The 15,504-nt window shown below is 42.5% G+C and overlaps 1 protein-coding gene and 1 long non-coding RNA gene across 13 annotated transcripts in view; one reads left to right on the top strand and one right to left on the bottom strand.

The window, feature by feature from the left end:
* Positions 1-15,504, top strand: part of ARMH3 (armadillo like helical domain containing 3) — a 210,575-nt gene that overhangs the window by 188,724 nt on the left and 6,347 nt on the right. The gene's annotated exons all lie outside the window — the stretch shown is intronic.
* The window catches only part of LOC101927445 (uncharacterized), a 27,911-nt gene extending 12,407 nt beyond the window's left edge, over positions 1-15,504 (bottom strand). The window contains exons 1-2 of the long non-coding RNA XR_946261.3: positions 15,175-15,504; positions 10,415-10,476 (exon numbers count right to left, since the gene is read on the bottom strand). This is a non-coding gene — a long non-coding RNA (uncharacterized LOC101927445). The remainder of the gene's footprint in view (positions 1-10,414; positions 10,477-15,174) is intronic.

The raw sequence follows: 15,504 nt of genomic DNA, 5'->3' as shown, positions 1-15,504 counted from the left end.
TCCTTTGCATAGAGTACCATATGTAATGAGCCTTAAAGGTCTTTATGACCCTCTGATTTGGAGGCTGAATTAGAGACATCTTTGGGGCACCCATGGTTGGTGCTGAATTCGTGGGGTCATGGGTAGCCAGTGGCATTGTACAGTATCAAAAGAACTTTAAAAGGCAGTTCCTTACTGGCAGGGTGCTTTGCGATTTCAGAGACAGAATCAATGGAACCAATCCAGTAAAAGAGTTTTTGTTGTCCAGGCCTTCTTGTCATATAACAAGAAGACTAGCAGAAGATTAGCAAGATAAAAACTAGGTGTTTTTCTTTTCCTTTCAAGACTCAGGGCTTAAAGGTTTATAGATAAGGGCACTCCTCATCATAAACCCAATTGCAATTGCACAAAGCAGGGTTACTGTTCCTGCCTTAAATCTTGTCGGTCACTTTCCTTCCTTACTAATAAATGTCTTTTGCAGAAATTTTTTTTCAGAATAGGGTACTTTTGTCTACAGTGATTTTCTTTGTTCATTCTTTTTGTTTGTTTGTTTGTTTTTGTTTGTTTGTTTTTACAGACAGACAGGGTCTTGCTATCTCAGTGATTTTCTTAATAGTGTCTAGAAATTCATCTGTTGCCTCTTGGTTGGCAGAGGCTGCTTCTCCTGTTATCTTGACATTTTTAAAGCCAAATTTGTTTCAAAATTATCAAACCATCCTTTGCTGATATTAAGTTCCCCAGCTTTAAATTCTTCACCTTCCTGTTTGCTTTAAGTTGTCATATAATGACTTCACTTTTTCTCTAATCACATTAGAGTCTATAGGTATGCCTTTCTTACAGCAATCCTCCATCCACATAAAAGCTGCATCTTCAATACAAGATAAAAAGGTATTTTGCAAAAAATGCAAGATTTTCATGCCTGCTGGCGTAGCTGCAGGAATGGCTTCATAAATTTCTTTTCCTTTTCTTTTCTTTTTTTTTTTTTTTTACACTTGTCCTTACACTGGATTCATTTTTCTTGAAATGGCAAGTGACTGCAGCTGCAGACCTCAGTCTGTGGTACATATCAAGCAATTCAGCCTCTTCTTGTAATGCTCTGACTCTTCTCTGCTTCTTGCGAGCACTTTCAGTCTCTCTCATGGCACTTTGTGTGGGTTCCATGGAGTTGTTCAAGTTTTACACTATTGCACTAAACACCATGAAAAATATATGAGAACTGCGAAAGATAGCTTTTTTTTTTTTTTCTTCTGAGATGGAGTTTCATTCTTCTTGCCCAGGCTGGAGTGCAATGGTGCAATCCCAGCTCACTGCAACCTCCACCTCCTGGGTTCAAGTGATTCTCCTGCCTCAGCCTCCCAAGTAGCTGAGATTACAGGCAAGTGCCACCACACCCGGCTAATTTTTGTATTTTTAGTAGAGATGGGGTTTCGCCATGTTGGCCAGGCTGGTCTTGAACTCCTGACCTCAGGTGATCCACCTGCCTCGGCCTCCCAAAGTGCTGGGATTACAGGCGTGAGCCACCGCACCCAGCCAAGAGATCGCTTTTTACTGCAATACACAATTTATTGGAGAGAGGAACTACTCATGTGGAGATGATTAGCGTCACAGGGCATTTTAAGTGGATAGTCACACTTGAGCTCACCACACTAGCAACAGGAGATGGCTATGAAAATATTACAGTAGGCCAGGTGCAGCGGCTCACGCCTGTAATCCCAGCACTTTGGAAGGCCGAGGTGGGCGGATCATCTGAGGTCAGGAGTTCAAGACCAGCCTGGCCAGCATGGGGAAACCCCATCTCTACAAAAAATATGAAAATTAGCCTGGAGTGGTGGTTCATGCCTGTAATCCCAGCTACTTGGGAGGCTGAGGCAGGAGAATCGCTTGAATCTGGGATGCAGAGGCTGCAGTGAGCCAAGATCATGCCACTACCCTCTACCCTGGGCAACAGAGTGAGACTCTGTCTCAAAAAAGAAAAAAAAATTACGGTAGTACAGTAGGTACTACAGTTAATTTTATACAGTTATAATTTAATACTGCCTCTTTACGTTTGCTTACATTTCTCTCAGCTGCAAATGGTGCCATGTGTGGTGTTTGTGTGCATGAGTTTTGTAAATTTTAACTTTTTATAATAGACTTGTGTATATTTTATGGTAGTAAATGATAAAATACTCTCTATGTATATCTTACGTGTTCATTACATATTTAATGTTTTCTTACTCTTTTTGTTTGTTTGTTTGTTTTTGTTTTTTTTTTTTGAGACATAGTCTCACACTGTCGCCCAGGCTGGAGTGCAGTGGCGCAATCTCAGCTCACTGCAAGCTCTGCCTCCCGGGTTCATGCCATTCTCCTGCCTCAGTCTCTCGAGTAGCTGGGATTACAGGCGCCCACCACCATGCCTGGCTAATTTTTTGTATTTTTAGTAGAGACGGGGTTTCACCATGTTAGCCATGATGGTCTCGATCTTCTGACCTTGTGATCTGCCCGCCTCGGCCTCCCAAAGCTTTAATATAATTAAAAAAAAATTTTTTTTTTTGAGCTGCGTCAGGGCTTTTAATTGAGAGTTTGTAAAGTCCTGATTTTTTTAAATTTAAGTTCTAGGGTACATGTGCACAATGTGCAGGTTTGTTACATATGTATACATGTGCCATGTGGTGTGCTGCACCCATTAACTCGTCATTTACATTAGGTATTTCTCCTAATGCTATCCCTTCCCCCTCTCCCCAGCCTGCAACAGACCCCAGTGTGTGATGTTCCCCAACCTGTGTCCAAGTGTTCTCATTGTTCAATTCCCACCTATGAGTGAGAACATGCGGTGTTTGGTTTTCTGTCCTTGAGACAGTTTGCTCAGAATTATGGTTTCCAGCTTCATCCATGTCCCTACGAAGGACATGAACTCATCCTTTTTTATGGCTGCATAGGATTCCATAGTGTATATGTGCCACATTTTCTTAATCCAGTCTATCATTGATGGATATTTGGGTTGGTTCCAAATCTTTGCTATTGTGAATAATGCCGCAATAAACATACGTGTGCATGTGTCTTTATAGTAGCATGATTTATAATCCTTTGGGTATATACCCAGTAATGGGATGGCTGGGTCAAATGGTATTTCTTGTTCTAGATCCTTAGGGAATCGCCACACTGTCTTCCACAATGGTTGAACTAGTTTACAGTTCCACCAACAGTGTAAAAGTGTTCCTGTTTCTCCACATCCTCTCCAGCACCTGTTTCCTGACTTTTTAATGATCGCCATTCTAACTGGTATGAGATGGTATCTCATTGTGGTTTTGATTTGCATTTCTCTGATGGCCACTGATGATGAGCATTTTTTCATGTGTCTTCTTTTGAGAATTGTCTGGTTTTTGTGTGTGTGTGTGTGTGTGTGTGTGTGTTTTTTTTTTTTTTTTTTTGAGATGGAGTCTTGCTCTGTTGCCCAGGCTGGAGTGTAGTGGCACTATCTTGTCTCACTGCAGCCTCTGCCTACTGGGTTCAAGTGATTCTCCTGCCTCAGCCTCCTGGGCAGCTGGGACTACAGGCAAGTGTCACCACACCCAGCTAATTTTTGTATTTTTAGTAGAGACAGGGTTTCACCATATTGGCCAGGCCAGTCTCGAACTCTTGACCTTGTGATACAACCTCTTTGGCAGCCCAAAGTGCTGGGATTACAGGTGTGAGCCGCTGTGCCTGGCCTTAATTTTATTTTATTTTTTAAGAGATGGAGTCTCACTATGTTGCCCAGGCTGGTCTTGAACACCTGGGCTCAAGCGATCCTCTCACCTCGGCCTTCCAAAGTGCTGGGATTTACAGGCACGAGCTACCATGCACAACCAATTTTTTCAAAATTTCTAAGATACACAATTTGCGAGATTTTTCAAATTGTTCCAAATCTTCAAAAACCTTTCTAATATATATGTATATTTTTAAATTTGCATATAAGTGGACCCACACAGTTCAAACCCATATTGTTTAGGGTTACCTATTTGTTCTATTAGTTACTGAAAGTAGTATGGAAACCTTCAACTTGTAACTATATGTTTTTCTGTTTCTTCTTTAGCCTATCGATTTTGTTTCATTCAAAGTTTTGAAACTGTTTTTAGATGCATGTATGTATGGGTTTGTTACGTCTTCATAATGAATAGACCTCTTTATCATTACAAAATTTTGCTCTATATTCCTGATACTATTTCTTGTTTTTAAGTTTCCTTTGTCAGATATTAATATAGCAATTCAACTTTCTTCTATCATTTTACTTTCAATCTGTGTCTTTATATTTTAGGTAGATTCTTGTTGCCCAGGCTGGAGTGCAGTGGCGTGATCTTGGCTCACCGCAACCTCCGCCTCCCGGATTCAAGCTATTCTCCTGCCTCAGCCTCCCGAGTAGCTGGGATTACAGGCATGCGCCACCATGCCAGGCTAATTTTGTAATTTTAGTAGAGACAGGGTTTCTCCATCTTGGTCAGGCTGGTCTCGAACTCCCGACCTCAGGTGATCCACCCGCCTCTGCCTCCCAAAGTGCTGGGATTACAGGCATGAGCCACCGCGCCTGGCTTAAGTGGATTTATTTTGGGCAACTTGTATAATTGGCTCTTGATTTTATGTCCAATCTGAAAGTCCCTGCCTTTTAATTGGAGTATTACATTGAACTTATTTATGAATATAACTGAGTTAAAAACTACCATCTTGCTTTCCCCCGTTTTTCCCATCCACTCATTGTTCTTTTTCTTTTTCTGCCCTCTTTTTATTTTACTGAGGGTTTTTTTTTTATGATTTCATTTTATATCTGCTATTGACATTTTAGTTATCCGTTTTCGTTTTCTTTTTTTAGTGGTTGCTATAAGGCTTACAATATACATCTTTAACTTATCACAGTGTACCTTCATGTTATTTATTTTTTTAGATGGAGTGTCACTCTGTTGCCAGGTCTGGAGTACAGTGGTGCGATCTTGGCTCACTACAACCTCCCCCTCTTGGGATCAAGCAATTCTCCTGCCTCAGTCTCCCCAGTAGCTGGGATTACAGGCATGCGCCACTACGGCCAGCTAATTTTTGTATTTTTACTAGAGACAGGGTTTCACCATGTTGGCCAGGCTGGTCTCGAACTTCTGACCTCAAGTGATCTGCCTGTCTCTGCCTCCCAAAGTGCTGGGATTGCAGGTGTGAGCCACTACACCCGGCCATAGTGCACCTTCAAAATAATGTATTATTTCACGTTACATGTGAAAACCTTGTAATAGTATGTTTCCATTTGCCCTATTCTTTCATTGGTACTATTGTTGTCATACATTTTAAATTTGTGTAAAAATAATTTCTGTTTACCCATGTATTTACTATTTCTAGTGCTCTTTATTATTATTTATAGATACAGGTGATATAAGTTTCCTTCTGCCAAAGAACATCTTTTTTTTTTTTTTTTTTTTTTTTTGAGAGGGAATCTCGCTCTGTCGCCCAGGCTGGAGTGCAGTGGCACAATCTCGGCTCACTGCAAGCTCCGCCTCCCAGGTTCACACCATTCTCCTGCCTCAGCCTCCCGAGTGCTGGGACTACAGGCGCCCACCACCACGCCTGGCTAATTTTTTTTTTTTTTTTTTTTTTTGGTATTTTTAGTAGGGATGGCGTTTCGCTGTGTTAGCCAGGATGGTCTTGATCTCCTGACCTCGTGATCCACCCGCCTTGGCCTCCCAAAGTGCTGGGATTACAGGTGTGAGTCACTGCGCCCAGCCTTTTTTTTTTTTTTTTTTTTTGAGACGGAGTCTCGCTCTGTTGCCCAGCCTGGAGTGTAGTAGTGCAATCTTGGCTCACTGCAACCTCTGCCTCCCGGCTTTAAGCAATTCTTCTGCTTCAGCCTCCCAAGTAGCTAGGATTACAGGCATGTGCCACTATGCCCAGCTAATTTTTGTATTTGAGTAGAGACAGAGTTTCACCCTGTTGGCCAGGCTGGTCTCAAACTCCTGCCCTCGTGATCCGTCCGCCTCAGCCTCCCAGAGTGCTGGGATTAGAGGTGTGAACCACTGTGCCCAGTCAAGAACTTCTTTTAATATCTCTTGTAGTACAGGACTTTTGGCAACACATTCTCTCAGATTGTTTGAAAATGTCTTTATTTTACTCTCATTTCTGAATGATGTTTTTGCTGGACGTAGGATTCTAAGTTAACTATTTTTTTTCCTGTCAGCACAAATATTATTATTACATTGTCTTCTGGCTTACATATTTTCTGGCAAGCAATGTGAACTCTTATCTTTGTTCCTCTATACATAATGTGTCTTTTTTTCTCTAGCTGATTTTACTATTCTTCCTTTAACACTAGTTTCATTACAATGTGCCTTATATCTACCATTTTTCTCTTTATTATGTTAATGGGTCTTTAAAATAATAGCTCTTTAAATGTCCTTGTTGCTAACTTCATCATCTCCCTCATTTCTGGGTCTATTTCTATTGACTGCTGTTTCTCTTGGTTATAGGTCACATTTTTCTGCTTCTTGATATGTCTGGCTATTTTTATTGAAGTTAAGTGCTAGATTTTGTTGTCTTTCTTTAAATTATATTGGACTTTATTCAGGAAGGCAGATAAAATATTTATGGAGTAGTACAATCCTTCTGACACATTTTTGAAATCTTCATTTGGGTTAGTTTAAAGTAGCCTTTACTCTAGGGCTAGTTTAGTGCCACTGCTCGGGTGTAACTATTGTGGCATCTTGTTTGAATGCCCTAGGTATTCAACAGGTACTCTTCATTCTGGTTAGTCAAAATTCAAACATCTCCCAGCCCTCTGTGAACTCTGAGAATTGTTCAGCTTACAAATTCTCAGATAATTTTTGTCTGACCTAGTTGAGTCAGACCCAACATATGCAATCCATATTATTAATATTTAGGAACAAATTCAGTAGGAACACTTTGAAAATTTCTGAAGCTCCTTCTCGGCCTGTCTCCCTTCTCTTTGATAGTCTGCCTCCCCAAACACCTATATGTCTCCTTAGCTTGGCAGGACCTTCAAGTTCTCCTTGTTTTCCTTCTCTTAGGATTCCTGTCCTGCACTGCCTGATATCCAGTATCTGACAAGAATTGTTTCCCAGTTCTCAGTTACTCTATCAAGTGGAAGTTCTGAACTACTTTAAAATACTGCATACCCTGAGTTGCCCAACTGAATTTTTTGAATTTCACATATTTTTCAGAGAACCTTCCCTTATATTAACTATTCATCTATATCTATATATCTATATCTATATCTATATATATCATCTCCACCTACTTCATTCTCTTTCTTCCCTCCTCTTTTCTCAGTTACTACAGAGGGAAGTCTCAAATGGGTGTTGGAAATGGTATATATAGTGAGCATTTTTATGTCCTTTTTAAGATAATTTACTAAAACATTTCTGATATTCCCTTTCCCCGTTTTTTTTCCATCTATTCTTGGGTCCAAGTGCTAGCCTTAACTAACATTGATCATTTACAAAGGCTCAACCTTCATATCTCTCAACAGTAAGGAGAGTTTGAACCTGAAGCTTTTGGGTCTCTAATATTTTATCCTTTTAACTGTCTGCTTGGTCACTGTGTCTCTTTGAGACCCTCCATCTGCCCATGGACCAGAGGGGTAAGCCGATAGCATTTAAAGGAATTTAACAGTCTCCTCTGGGTACTAGTTAGCATTGGAGCTCATGAATCTAATTGTTTTCCTTGTTGTCTGAGATACAACTCTTTTGGTTGCTATATGCAAACAAGTGCTAAAAATGGCTCAGCAACTCTTTGAACCTGGCTGCTCAAAGATCACCATGTTTCTCTGCTTAGATTGTTTTGGACAGTTATCTAATAAGTACACTGCACAGCTGAGCTGAATTTATGCAGTTGGAATCCATCGCTACATTGAACACACCTCAGAAAGTCATTTCAGAATGGATCAAACATAATTTCTGAGAAACCATAGCTATAGCTTGTATATTTTGAGAGTAGAGTGACATCCTCTCCCATTCGTTTCATCTTTTGCTCATCTTTTGTACAGGATTTATTTATTTCAGTGTCAGGGCTGAGCCTTGAAGAATCTGCCTTTCAGGTGATTGCCCTGATGGAGTCTAGGCTGTCAGTGTCAGTCACAGATATGTCCAAGCTAATGGTTGGTCCTTCCTGCAGCTGCTGTCTCAGGGGCCCTGCTACACTTGTGTAGAATTTTGCACTCACAATTAGCTACTACAGTAATGTAAAGAGGAAGAGGTGGTAAACAAAAGAGAAAAAACCTTGGGTTCCTTATTTTCCCAGTCTTAGAAGGTGTGACACTATCTCAATCTAGCTGCCCATTCACTGGTCAGTTAAGCAGCTGACTCCAAACCATACTTAGTGTTACTGGCTCAACCTTCTATGTCCTTACATCTGTGGGTGTGCCTGTTGATGGTGGTTTATCTTGATTCCTCAGTTTGCATGTTAGCTCCGTAAAGGCAAGACTTGGCTCTGAGGGCTTTTGAAGCCTGTCAAAGAATGCTGAGAACAGTGCAGAAGGTACATCAGGGTCTAACTCTAATCTTACCACGTGACCTTGATGAGAGATTACTTTCTTTTTTGGTTGGGCCTGTGTTACTAAATTAGTCAGCAAACATGTTGACTGTTTGTTGTTTCTTAGGACTCTGTTAGACATTATGAAAATCCATAATGTCACACTGAGCCTCCTTCAGAGTGCTAAGCATCTAGCTATGAGAGATTTCAGTGAGGAAATCAGTCGTAATGGCATGTTGTTTCTCTAGGAGAGGGCCTGCCACTCTGCCTGCGTCCACCTGCTAATGCACGAACCCTAAAGCAGTATATTCTTTCCTCCACAGGAAATCCCTCATTGGGAAACCTGTAGAATGCAAATGTCTTCCAGAAAGGGTGGGGACAGATGAGAGGAATTTTTTTATTTATGGATGGGGTTGAAAGGGAAGCTGTGGAAATAGGTCACTTCTCCCAATTTCAGGCCCTAAAAAATAGTTATTCATAGGGTCATATCAAGGCAAAAGAAAATAGTAGTAATAGCTACACTTCTTAAGTGCTTTCTGTGTGCCAAGCATAGAAAGCTTTCAATACATTGTCTTATTTAGTCCTCAGAACCAGCTATATATGATGAAGTTATTAGTATTTCCACTTTAAAGATGAACAAACAGGCTTACCCAGCTCCATCCTGCTGCTAACTGGTGAAGATAGGATATGAGTCCAGGCAGGCTAACTCTAGAGCCGTGCTCTTAACCACTATGCCATCTTGACTATCACTAGCTACTAATTGGAACTTTTCAGCACCCAGGTACAACTAGACCCAACAGTGACCTGCCAAGATCTTTACTTAGAGAACATCTTTGCAGTGCTGTGCTTCTTGTTTAGCTTTAACTAATCTTGAATTTGGAAGAATATGGGTTTTAGGGAAAGAAGAATTGGCTTTTGCTTCTCCCTTATCAGAATCCCTCTTCTAAGCTGTCCAGCATCTGACTACCACTTAACATAATTGTTACAATGCCATCAAGAGGCTCTGCCTAGGCTGCTGAAATTGCAAGGTTAGGGACAGACCTTTATTGCTTCTGGGAGAAAAGAGGGCTATTCCTCATTAGGAGACACATAACCAGTTCTGGGAAAGGCCTGGTTTTAGGAAAATAGAGGAAGAGTGGGAGGCTAAATTTAGTCCTTTCAGAGGAAATAAAAGATAAGACCTTCCATTTCTCTTTCAGTCTCTTGCCCAAGTTTATAGAGCATTTTAGACCCAATAACAAATCCAGAGAAGAGAATTAGGCAATGCCCTGAGTAGGTCATTCTCATTTTTGTAGGAAAAGTCGTCTTCCTTTGAGTTTGAGGAAATTTGCTGGGTATTAGAAAGAAGATGACTTCAGCCTTTCTGGCTGACAAATGGTATATTTGAGTTGTGATATTATTTCTCCAGGATGATGAGAGGGAGATTTCATTGTGTATTTACCATTAAAAACTGCCTGAAGCTGCTTGGACCTTCCTCTCCCCTCTAGCAGTCCATTTGCCAGTGACCATTGTTGAAGGCCTAAGGTATGCTCAGCACTATTTTTTTTTGAAGTGGAGTCTCACTGTTGCCAGGCATGATCTTGGCTCACTGCAACCTCACTGAACCTCTTGGGTTCAAGCGATTCCCCTGCCTCAGCTTCCCGAGTAGCTGGGATTACAGGCACATGCCACCACTCCCGGCAAATTTTTGTATTTTTAGTAGAGATGGCGTTTCACCATGTTGGCCAGACTGGTTTTGAACTCCTGACCTCAAGTGATCCGCCCACCTCGGCCTTCCAAAGTGCTTGCATTACAGATATGAGCCACTGCACCTGGCCCAGCACTATTTCTTTTAGGGATAAGACAATTATGCTAGGACCAGGAGGTCAGAAAGGTCAGAACAGTGAACAGCTTAGAAAGGTAGTGTGGGGAGCAAACCTGATTATTCAGTCCTTCTTTTTTTTTTCTGTATACCTACTTTGTGGTCCAGACTTCTTGCTTCTTGATTCTGTGGGCACCAGGATAGATGTGTCCCAAATCCTGAAACATCATGAGGAATAAACTCCATTACCCAACTTGCTGTGGAACAAACTCATTATTTCTCCATTATCAGCTTGCAGAATAAGTAGTGCCTGCCCAGCCCCCTCCACATTATGGGAAGGAGAAGCAAGGGCAGTGTCTGGACTTGGCCTGGTGATGCTCTTGTTTGTGTTTTCAGAGTTTGATGACTCAGGCTGTCCTTTCCTGCTTTGTGGAAGAAATGGGTTCAAAAAATCATATTCTCTAGTGAGTAAACAGCTAAAGTAGAACAGTGATCAAGAATCCAGTGGGACAGATAGATGGAAATTATTATGAAAATCCTATAAAAAGCCTTTTTATCTTTTTTTCCTTCTGATTCCATTTTAACTCCTTTATCTGTTTCAAGTCATCCAGAGATTTTTTTTTTTTTATGATTAGGAGTTGGACAGGGTTAAAGCAGAACTGCATGGAAGTGGAACAGAATGATGACAGTCTCTTTGGGAAAATGGAAGATTAGCCTTGAGATAGGAGCATTCATTGTAGAAGGGATTTATTGAATCTTTCAGCACCCCGCCCCGAGCCTGAAGACCACAGGATGGCAGAGGCCTAAAAAGCCCAATTAAAGATCAAAGACCTTTGAATTTCAAGCTTCCATCTAAAATGAGTATTGAGTAATCAAAATAGCAGCCAAAATCAGATATTGCTGACAATGAGTTTGGAGTGATCTGTAAAATTTTGTTGGTTTACACCAACTATCAACAGGGTTGAGCAGGGTGTTCAACTGCTAGTATTGAAAATTGTCAAACCCTGGAGCCCTAAGGAGCTGGGTAGTCATTAAAGCTCAAACAGCAAATCAAGGCTTCACCAGGTTACTTTCTTAGCTCTCCACAAATCATACTTCCAAACTTCTTAGGAGAAGCAAGTTTGAATTCCTTGAATCTTTGGTCTCTGAAGGCCAAGTTTAGCCTGTAAACCCAAGAATGTGCCTCAGGTTAGACCAGCCTGCACTGGGTTGAGCACAGCCTGCACTGGGTTGAGCACTAGGAAGAGCACTGGATTGAGAGAAAATTCTGGTATATAATCCCAGTTTTATGACTTTGGGCAATTTACAATCTTTCTGGGCATTTATTTCTTCCTCTGTGAAATAAGGGCCATGAACTAGCTAAGTGATTTCAAAGGCTCCTCCCAGAACTATTATTTTTTTCTTTATATATATATAATATATTTATATATAATACATAAATATATTTTATATAATGTATTTTATATAAATATATATAAAATATATATATATATTTTTTCACACCTGTGATTCCAGCACTTTGGGAGGCTGAGGTGGAAGAATCACTTGAGACCAGAAGGTCAAGGGTGCAGTGAGCTGTGATTATGCCACTGTACCCCACCCTGGGTGACAGAGTGAGATCTTGTCTCAAAAAAATAAATAAAACATAGAGATGGGGTCTCACTCCATCATCCAGGCTGGTCTTGAACTCCTGACCTCAAACGATCCTCCCACCTCGGCCTCCCAAAGTGCTGAGATTATAGGAGTGAGCCACTGTACCTGGTCCAGAACTATTATTTCTGTGGTTTTGTCCATGTAGTAGCACTTGGCCAAAAAGAGGTATGATAGCTGGGCGTGGTGGCTCACGCCTGTATCCCAGCATTTTGGGAGGCCGAGGCAGGTGGATCACCTGAGGTCAGGAGTTCAAGACCAGCGTGGCCAACATGGTAAAACCCTATCTCTACTAAAAATACAAAAATTAGCCAGGAGTGGTGGCAGGCACCTGTAATCCCAGCTACTTGGGAGGCTGAGGCAGGAGAATCACTTGAACCCAGGAGGTGGAGGTTGCAGTGAGCTGAGATCACGCCACTGCACTCCAGGCTGGGCAATAAGAGCGAAACTCCATCTCAAAAAAAAAAAAAAAAAAAAAAAGAATAGACAGTGTTGTTTCCTCTTCACCAGAATCTGCCATAGGCTGAATGAAGATGTATGAGGCCCTAGCCCCTGGCTTATCATTAGAACTATCTTGAGATAGCCAGAACTCCAAATACTCCTTGTCACCAGAAAGACTTTCATTATAAAATTAGTAACCATTATTGACTATTGATTATGTGCCAGGCATTGTACAATCGTTAATCTCATGTTATCCTCACATCAGCCTTATAAGATGTAGATGGTGTTGTCTTCATTTTATAGATACTGAAAACTGAGGCTCAAAGACATTAAGAAACTTGTATAAATTTATTTTGCTAATTAGTGGTTGACTGGGAACTAAAACTTAGGTCTCTGACCTCAATCCTATGTTCTTGATGGCTTTGCTGTCCTCTCAGGCCCCTTACCTCCAGAGGCTTCAGGGGCAGATGTTTAGGCCTTCCCAAACATTGCCCACTTTGTTTTCCCCTCGCCTAAGTTGAGGCAAAGTGTTTTAAGGCAAAGAAGAGGGCATGAGATACTTGAAACTGAGGCCATTTGTGTATTCCTTGTCTTCCACTTGAACCCAGAAGTTGTTCCTTTGTGGTGAAGAATCACTTACGCACATAGAATCTTTGGGACAGTTTGAAATAGGTAGGTACTTCCTGGACTGTGAAAGTAGTTACTTTTGAGTCATAGGAGCTGTCTAGGTAGCTGTGTAGCCATTGGGATGACAGTGTTTCCATCAATTGTATGTTACTTAAAACTTTTATTCAGGAACTTAAAAACTTTTATTCCCATGTCATTTTAGGAAGGTGAGTTCAAGTTCCATTTTATAGAAAAAAGGGCTGAGACTCACAGAGGCTAGGTGAATTGTCTGAAGTCCCATAACAAGAGGCTAGGTGAATTGTCTGAAGTCCCATAACAAGAGTAGGACTCCCAGCTCAGTTAATTTTCTTTCTTTTTTTTTGAGACGGAGTCTCGCTCTGTTGCCCAGGCTGGAGTGCAGTGGTGTGATCTCGGCTCACTGCAACCTCCGCCTCCTGGGTTCAAGTGATTCTCCTGCCTCAGCCTCCCGAGTAGCTGGGATTACAGGCACCTACCACTGCACCCAGCTAATTTTTGTATTTTTAGTAGAGACGGGGCTTCACCATCTTGGCCAGGCTGGTCTCGAACTCTTAACCTCGCGATCCATCCGCCTCGACCTCCCAAAGTGCTGGGATTACAGGCATGAGCCATCGTGCCTGGTCAGCTCAGTTAACTTTCTATCAGGCTCTTGCCAAGACCCAAGTGTCTGTCTCCTAAGGGTCATAGGTGGTGGTGTGAGGATTCCTTGGAGAGCATGTGACCTGTAGGTGACTTACTGGCTTTGAGGCTACCTTGGGCTGAGGTGGTTGGCATGATTCTAGGAAGCCCACAAGCCCAACGGCCGATGAAAGAAGGTAGCCTTGTGCTTGCGGGGGCGTAGACTGTTACCTGACGGATTGGAAAGGGATTTCAACCTGAGAAGGACCTTTAGAGTTGCCAGGAAGCAGATACTGAGGCTGCAAATTGTGGTAAGCCTCAGGCCTTTAGGCAGAGGCTCTGGGAGATGGCCCTCTCCCTAAGTGTGGCCCTCACCATGTCCCAGGCCAGTGCTGAGACTCAAATGAGACATGTTCCTTAAGTCTGAGCTACAGAAAGCAAAGTCCCAGGCCAGGCAAGTACCTGCTAGTGTTCTGAAGTCTTGGATGGGTTGGGGCCCAGGCCTGAGCCTAGAATGTCTTTTTCCTTTGTGAGTAAAAGAAAAGTGACAAGGGCAGGAGACAGCAGAGACTAGATGAACTGACAGGCAACTTTCCTCAGGTATAAGAGGAAGAAAGGAAGTAAGCCCACAAGAAAGGGCCAGGGAAGGCCGGGCGCTGTGACTCACGCCTGTAATCCCAGCACTTTGAGAGACTGAGGCGGGTGGAGCACCTGAGATCAGGAGTTCGAGACCAGCCTAGCCAATATCATGAAACCCCGTCTCTACTAAAAAAAAAAAAAAAAAAAATTAGCCAAGCATGGTGGCAGGCGCCTGTAATCCCAGCTACTCAGGAGGCTGAGGCAGGAGGATCGCTTGAACCTGTGAGGTGGAGGCTGCAGTGAGCTGAGATAGCGCCATTGCACTTCAGCCTGGGTGACAAGAGCAAGACTGTCTCAAAAAAAGAAAAAAAAAAGAAAGGGCCACGGAAGGGGGAGGTGGCAACGGGCAGTGTCTGGACAAGAGGAGAGCTGAGATCATGGGCACTATAAGTCCAGCCAGGCTTCTGGATTTTTTTCTTTTCTTTTTCTTTTCTTTTTTTTTTTTGAGACAAGGTCTTGCTCTGTCATCCAGGCAGTAGTGCAGTGGCGTGATCACAGCTCATGGCATGGCATCCTCTGCCTTCCAGGTTCAAGCAATTCTCCTGCCTCAGCCTCCAAAGTTGCTGGGATTATAGGTGCGCACCACCACTAATGTTTGTATTTTTAGTACAGATGGTGTTTCACCATGTTGGCCAAGCTGGTCTCGAACTCCTGACTTCAGGTGATCTGCCCGCCTCGGCCTCCCAAAGTGCTGGGATTACAGGCGTGAGCCACCATGTCCGGCTGCTTCTGGTTTTCTTCCAAGGAGCTAGTAGCTCAGGGACCTTTTCTGCTCTCACCTCCCTGTAACAAACTAAACTAAACCATGCTGGCAAAAGCCAGCTTTATTGGGATAGGAAGAAATCACTCTTCTAAGTGAGACCTTAGACCTTCTACCATGCCCTGGCAAGAGGAGAGAGTCCAGGTGATCAAAGCAGCCTTACCTGCGGCCTGAGGCTCTCAGGATGTAGTCAGAAGGTTCAGCCATCTCTTCATATGCAGTAACCTCTTTCGCAGAAATTGACTTTAGCATGATGTTTGTCCTTTGGCACTTGACACCGCTCAGGAAAGGCTGAGCCCAAGTTGCTGGGTCTTAAGCATTGCTGAGGCTCCCCAGATTTCAGGGCATAGGAAAACATGTATTACTCTATTCTGCCTGGTTCCTAGGGGCTGATTTCCATCTTGGAGGAATTTTGCCTTTTTCTGGGCTTGAGCCATTCACTTCTGAGCCAAGACCTTGGCTGCAGATATTCCAGCCACGAGTGCAGCCCACG

The sequence above is a fragment of the Homo sapiens genome, chromosome 10, assembly GCF_000001405.40.
Source record: "Homo sapiens chromosome 10, GRCh38.p14 Primary Assembly".
Classification (NCBI taxonomy): Eukaryota; Metazoa; Chordata; class Mammalia; order Primates; family Hominidae; genus Homo; species Homo sapiens.
This window is presented reverse-complemented; position numbering and strand designations above follow the sequence as displayed.